At 45.1% G+C, this 7,190-nt stretch overlaps 1 long non-coding RNA gene across 1 annotated transcript, besides 3 other annotated features; it reads left to right on the plus strand.

Annotated features, from left to right (window-relative positions):
• The first annotated feature begins 29 nt into the window (after positions 1 to 29).
• On the plus strand, positions 30 to 6,930 carry GS1-24F4.2 (uncharacterized LOC100652791). The gene is made up of 3 exons (NR_045217.1): positions 30 to 93; positions 442 to 697; positions 6,144 to 6,930. It is a non-coding gene; the product is annotated as an uncharacterized LOC100652791 (long non-coding RNA).
• Positions 5,223 to 5,372: a silencer, noted in NCBI's record as "silent region_18888". NCBI's record gives its function as "represses an Ori minimal core promoter by ATAC-STARR-seq in GM12878 lymphoblastoid cells {active_cell/tissue: GM12878}" and the evidence as "EXISTENCE:reporter gene assay evidence [ECO:0000049][PMID:35858748]".
• Positions 5,223 to 5,872: a biological region, named in NCBI's record as "H3K27ac-H3K4me1 hESC enhancer GRCh37_chr8:6698341-6698918".
• Positions 5,295 to 5,872: an enhancer, noted in NCBI's record as "H3K27ac-H3K4me1 hESC enhancer chr8:6698341-6698918 (GRCh37/hg19 assembly coordinates)". NCBI's record gives its function as "activates a minimal SCP1, AML or CMV promoter by ChIP-STARR-seq in naive H9 embryonic stem cells {active_cell/tissue: H9 hESC(naive)}" and the evidence as "EXISTENCE:reporter gene assay evidence [ECO:0000049][PMID:30033119]".
• Positions 6,931 to 7,190: the final 260 nt, after the last annotated feature.

Consider the following 7,190-nt stretch of genomic DNA (forward strand, 5'->3'; position numbering starts at 1 on the left):
CCCTTCCCCTGCACGCGGCCCCGCGTCGGGGAGGTTTCCGGCCCGGGGCCCGACTGCGGGTGGCATTTCTGGCTAAGCCGTTAGGCGCGAATTGTATGTCTGGTTTATTCGTAGTGGCCAGCAGGGGAGGGAGGGAGGATGCTTGGGGTTTCTGGCTTCCAGGGTGGGTGGGGACGAGGTGGTGGAGTCCAGCTCAGGTCCGGGCTCCTGATAAGGGCAGAAGCGGGTTCTGCGCTGCCCCCAACCCTGTAACCGCCAGGAAAGCGCTTGGTGAGCGTCGGGACTGCGCAGGTTCCTCGGGAGGTGGCTAAACTGGCCACCGCCTCTGGGGCCGCCTAAAGCAAGTCCGTTAACCACTAGTCAGGGAGGAATACTGTGTTTGAGTAAATATATGTAGAGTTGGGTTAGAATCATTGATTGGGTCTTTTTGAAATCTTACAGTTCTGTGTCCAGAAAACACAGGGCACGTTACCCGGTATCGTGGTCTACACCTCGCCCACAAATCCATCCCAGGCTGTATCCTCATGGAAGCTTTTTCCAGATGTGCTTGAGGGTTAAGATCGCAATGTGCAAGAAGAAAAAGTGCACATTGGAAAACCTTCTCTTCGGAGATATCTATATCTATATTTATATATATTTACAGATATGGAGATATATACACACACGTATCTGAAAACATTCTGACGTTTTAAAAACGGTAAGACAGACTTTTATTCAGAACCATTTCCTTAGATGTAAGGGACTGCACTGAGGTTTTGCAGCAGGGGAGAGAGATTGGGGTCCGAAAATAATAAGGAAAAGTGGGGATTTATAGCCAAGGAGCAGTGTGGGGGACGGTGGATGGAAAGTCATTGAGAAGGGGACATCAAGTGGGGGTTCTGGCTTCCCTGACCTAACAGGATTCCTGCTGAGGGTGGGCCAAGTTGATCCACATCGGGGATGGGGGTGGGGTGGAGCAGGTGTTGGAATTTGGTCAGATATGGAGGGTATTCAGACACCTGAGGTGGGGAATTGGGATTAAACTGACTTAGCAGGATTCTTGCTAAAACTAGACTCTGCAGGAACAGAGGAAGGAATGCCCAGGTTGGGCCCAGTCGTGCAGAGAGCTCGGAGGAGGCTGTCCAGAGTCTGATCAGGGAGACATTCTTTGTCATTCATGTATATACCCATATATTGTAATAGGCTGTTCTTGTATGACTATAAAGAAATACCTGAGACTGGGTAATTTATCAGAAAAGAAGTTTGATTGGCTCACAGTTCTTCAGGATTTACAGGAAGCACGGTGCTGGCATCTGCTCAGTTTCTAGGAAGGCCTTGGGAGCTTATGCTCATAACGGAAGGTGAAAGGGGAGCAGGCACATCCCATGGCGAAAGCATGTTCAAATTAACATAAGAAGAAAGAGAACTTGGCCAGGCACGATGTCTCATGCCTGTAATCCCAGCATTTTGAGAGGCCAAGGCAGGCGGATCACCTGAGGTCAGGAGTTTGAGACCAGCCTGGCCAACATGGCGAAACGCTGTCTCTACTAAAAATACAAAGATTAGCTGGGTGTGGTGGTGGACACCTGTAATCCCAGCTACTTGGGAGGCTGAGACAGGAGAACCGCTTGAACCTGGGAGGTGGAGGTTGCAGTTAGCCGAGATCGTACCATTGTACTCCAGCCTGGGTGACAGAGGGAGACTTCATCTCAAAAAAAAAAAAAAAAAAAAAAAAGAGAGAGAGAGAGAGAGAATTTGAATAGTCCAGTGAGTGTTAGAGAAATTAAACTGGTAGTCAAAGACTATTCAGGTCTAGGTACTTTTACAGATTAATTCTGCCAAAGTTTCAATGAACAGTTAACTGCTACCTAATATAATTTGCTCCAGGAAACAAAGACCGAACTTTACCCAGCTTATTTTAAAAGACTGCTGTAGTTTTGATTGTAAACAAAGATATACATAGAAAGAAAATTATTTTAATGACAAGCACAGATGCAAAAATCCTAGGTAAAATGATAAATTCAAAATATATTAAAATAGTATTATATGATAAGGTGGGTTTTACTATGAATTTTCACAACCCAGAAATCCTTTGATGTCACTCCATTATCATTTTGAACAAGAAAAATCCTTTTTTTTTCTTTCTTTCTTGAGGCAGTCTAGCTCTGACATGAGGCTGGAGTGAATAGGCGCAATCTTGGCTCACGGCAACCTCAACCTCCTGGGTTCAAGCCCTGTTCTCATGTCTCAGCCTCCCAAGTAGCTGGAATTGCAGGCGTGTGCTACCAGACTCAGCTAATTTTTGTATTTTTAGTACAGATGGGGTTTCTTCATGTTAGCCAGGCTGGTCTCGAACTCCTGAGCTGAAGTGATCTGCCTGCCTCGGCCTCCCCAAGTGCTAGGATTGAAATAATCAAATGATTTTTCTTGGTTGGGCACAGTGGCTCACAGATAAGAAGACAAGCATGCTCAGTATCACAACTACTGTTTAATATTGTGTTGGAGGGTATACCTAATGTATAAGGAAACTGAAGGAAATAAGATCATGTAACTAGCAGAAAGGAAGGGTGAGACACTCATCATCTACAGATGCTTCTCTACCTAGAACAATCAACCTTGTCAAGCTGATGAAATAGTTCAAAACGTGGCCGGGTGCGGTGGCTCACGCCTGTAATCCCAGCACTTTGGGAGGCCGAGGCGGGTGGATCATGAGGTCAGGAGATCGAGACCACCCTGGCTAACATGGTGAAACCCCATCTCTACTAAAAAAAAAAAAAAAAAAAATAGCTGGGCGTGGTGGCAGGCACCTGTAGTCCCAGCTACTTGAGACGCTGAGGAAGGAGAAAGGTGTGAACCCAGCAGGCAGAGCTTGCAGTGAGCCGAGATCACGCCACTGCACTCCAGCCTGGGCAACAGAGCGAGACTCCGTCTCAAAAAAAAAAAAAAAAAAGGCCAAAAGGCCTTCTAATATAACTTACAAAAACCAATAGCGTTTCTCTGTACACGTACTATACAAAACTGGAAAAATTAAGATAGTTGTAATAGTTAGAATGTCTATAAAGTGCTTAGGAATTGATTTAAAACATACATAAGATTTGTCTGGAGCACACCATAAAACTCTAATAAAGAATATAAGAAATGATCTGAGTAGATATATTCTTGTTTTTGATTCAAACAGCTTAATAAAATTGTCAATTCTTCCTTAATTAATCTATACATTCAGTGGAAACTTATTAAAAATTCCAAAATGATCTTTACGAAACTTGATAGACTTACTCTAAAATGTGAATGAAGAGAGGAGGTCCACAAATTAGCCGACTTTGTGAAGAAGGATAAAGAGGCATTTGTACCCTTCTAGATATTAATATATATCAAGAAAAAGTCATGTTTATAGAACGTTATGGTATTGGCACAGAACAGACAAAAAATCTATAGAATGCAGTGGAGAGCTCAGAAGCTGACCTACAAATACATAGAACTTAAAATATATGACCAATAGCGGCACCACAAATCAATGGAGAAATACAAATTGTTTAGTGAATGTGTGATAAAATGAGCTCATTAGATCCAAACAATAAAAGTAGATCTCCACCTAGCGCATGCCCACAGGTGGACGCCATGTAGAGTAAAGACCTACATATGAAAGATAAGACTTTAACAGAAAGAAGTACAAAAAATAGCAGAATATTTTTATGACTTAGTAATGGAGAAGGATGTCTTAAACAACACCTCAAAACACAAACCACAAGGGAAAAATGGATTGCATTTTTTTGTGTGTAACAACTGAAGCCTTCTGTTTAGTGAAGGACCTTGTGGACGTTAACGGACAGAAGTTAGATACAGTGGGAGAAGTGTTTTGCAATGTCTCAAACTGACAAGTCATTAATATATGAAATATACAAGTAACTCCTATATTTCAACAAAAACGAGGAGGCAGCAACCTCAGTAAAAAAGGGGAAAAGGCAATTTATGGAAGAGAAAAACCCGAAAAGGCCTAATTTACTGAAGAAAATGTTTCCAAACTGAAGATAATTTAAGTGATGCTGAAACCTATCAATATTTTAAAAAGTGCAAAGTGAATGACATCACTTTATTTATTTATTAGACAAGATCTTGCCCTGCCATCCAGACTGGAGTGCAATGGCGCGATCTCAGCTCACTGCAACCTCCACCTCCCGGGTTCAAGCGATTCTCCTGCCTCAGTCTTATGAGTAGCTGGGATTACAGGCACGTGCCACTGTGCCTGGGTAATTTTTTTATTTTTAGTAGAGACGGGGTTTCCCTGTGTTGGCCAGGCTGGTCTTGAATTCCTGAGCTCAAGTGATCTGTCTGCCTCCGTCTCCCAAAGTGCTGGGATTACAGGCGTGATCCACCACTCCCGGCCTGACATCACATTACTTCTTTAGATTGGCAAAAATTACAAACTGGGTGATGCCTAGCCTCAGTAGCCACATAAGGTCCCAGGCTCCAGGGACCTCTGGCACTGCTGCTGTGATTAGAGCAGTTCAGGTTAAGTGTGGTACAGTCTGATTAAAAATCAGAAGCAGCGTCTTCATAATTAAGGCAATTCTTATTTTAATGTTGGGCATACATTTTCTAATCTTTATCTGTCTATCTTTTCTGTTACATTAATGAAATAAGAATGAGCCTTGAAGTTAATATTCTGCATTTTACACTCAATGTATCAGGAATACATTCAAATATTCGTATAGTACTTATTATTGTCAGCAAATCCTACGCAGCTGAAGATTTTATTTGTTTACCTATTTTTGTAGTGTTGATACCACTGCAACAACCATTTGGGGAACACAGTTCCTCCACTGTCCTCTGCTGGAATGTTTACTTTTAGATAAATTTCCAGGAGTACGTTATGAGAAATGAGAGTAAACGGAATGTTTTGGCTCTATAAATTTGTAGCAATAGTTGAAGGAGTTGATGTGGAAGATACTGGTGTCTTCTGTGGTCGCTAACCCTGGGATGATCCACGAGCCAGTCGGGCCACCCACCTTCTTAAGCATCCCTCTTCTAGTGCGTAGGAGAAAGCCATGGTTGCCAAGGCTTTTCTTGCCCCCTCCTCCAAGCCATGTAAACTAATCGTCCCTCAAGCCCATCCGGACCCTGTAATGCCATGGCTTGTTTGCACCTGCATAGATAGCAGATCATGAGAGTGTGCACAGCGTATAATGCCTTCTCAGTGCATGTTGGGTGTATGAATGAATAAGTGAATAAACAAGTAAGTGAATGAATGAAAGCAAGCAGCCAGGAAGCGCTGCAGCTCAGTCTAGTCTTTTCCCAGGGCAAACACCCAGTAGGTGGCGCTGTTGCACCGGCGGTTGCAAACCCTCAGAGCACGTTTAAACAGAGCTCTCTGACTCTGGGACAGAGGATGTGGAAAACCTGTGTCTTCAAATCACGTCATTAGGTTTGAAGATGACTTAATGTGAAAATAAATGTATTTTAACGTCATTAAAATAATCCTTAGTACTTTAAAATCTCAGCTAGCTTCTGAATGCTTTGGGAATACTTTCTCCATAGTTAACTGCACACAAGCCCGTGGGGTGGGCAGGGCAGGTATTTGCTCTCTGAGATCCAAAGAGGGCAGTTTCTCGGCTGGTAGAGGCAGAGCTGGATGCAGAGCCAGGCACAGAGCCAAGGCGCGTCTGACCCCAGTCCAGCGGGATCTCCTGCAAGCCGCAGTGTTTCCAGAGGCGCACTTCAGTGTGTGGAGTGAAGGGAGAGTCTCCGGACATGAGAAGAGCTGCTCTGAGCAGTGTGGCGGCCGTTTTTGTTTCCTTTCTCTTTCTCCTCCTGGGGCTAGGCAGACACCGGGCACAAAGAAGGAAACAGGCCTTCTGTGAGTGCAGCAGCAATCAATAAAGAAGCAGCCCAGAGCGGCCATCCCTCTTCTGTCTGCTGTGACGCTCCGGCCCAGGTGTCCCTGGGGCTGCCCTCCCCAGGGCCTGTGTGTTGCATATATGGGGTGGGGTGAGGGCAGCTGGAATTGAGGTGGGGACCCTGCAATTGTGAGGGGCTGCGTGGCAGAGGTGGGCGGCTCTCGCAGGCCTCTTCCTGGACACTTGCACCCCCTCATCCTGCTCTCTTTTTCTTCCTGCACTTACATCATCTCATTTGTTTATTTTCTCATTGTCCGTCTCCCTCTACAGGAGCACCAGAGGAGGGGGACTTCATCTGACTTGTTCAGCACTGTCTCCCAGGCCCTGGCACAGAGGGAGCACTCGATACACACCGATGGGCTGAAGGTGTGAATGGATCTGGGGACTAGAGTGATGGTTATTTGGCAGACAGCATGCCCCGCCTGGGCAGTAGCCGTGAAGACTCTTCTTTTCCTCTCCTCGCCTGCACTCTTTAGGATTGAACAGCATTGGTTCAATGCATATTCTGGGAGCACAGAGAAAAAAGGGATCAAGTTCCACCATTATGCAAAAGGGACTCCTGTAAGCCAGGTGAAGAAGGGGCAAGGCCCTTCTTGGTCAGCAGGGATAAGGCAGTTGTGTATGGGAGAGCATGCGAGGAGGGCGAGGGCTGGGGGAGATGGAGCAGGAACATTTGGTTGGGGCTCTGAGGCACTCTTCTGCTTGGGGAGTGTGTGGGCAAAGGCAGGGGCTGTGCAGGAAGGATTTAGCTAAAGCCATAAAGCTGGAAGAGGGTTTGGGGAACGGCTTTGAAGTTACATTTGTTTTGCAAGTTCTTTGTTTTTATTAATGTTTGCATGTTATTTGGGTAGCTGTAGGGAGTAGGTTTTCGGGGAGTTAAAGTGCACTCTCTCACCCCTCCTTCAGTCCTACTACTGCCCCTAGATACACAATCACCTCAAGTGACTTTCACGTCACCAGGAATGGGCAAAGTCTAGATTTTGGAACAGAAAATATTTTAGGTCCCCGTCCCTCTCTGTAACCAATAACCAATGCCATATAAATGGAAAAGTATAAAGAAGTCCAGAAATTCTTATTTTCCCCTCAACGACTAGTCATGCATGACATTTTAAAACTAATACTTCACTGGCATCAGAGCTCCTGGGCTGTGCTTGATCAAACAATTGGGATCTGGCTCTGAAGCACATCCTTGATCCGTACGGATTTTTGTCAGAGAATCTTCCGCTTGAAAGGCAGTGTTCGGGGTCTTCCAAGGCACACTGAACTACGTTAAGCCCCTCATACACACCCAAAGTACGTAAGGCAGAAGGAACCTGG

The sequence above is a fragment of the Homo sapiens genome, chromosome 8, assembly GCF_000001405.40.
Source record: "Homo sapiens chromosome 8, GRCh38.p14 Primary Assembly".
NCBI lineage: Eukaryota > Metazoa > Chordata > Mammalia > Primates > Hominidae > Homo > Homo sapiens.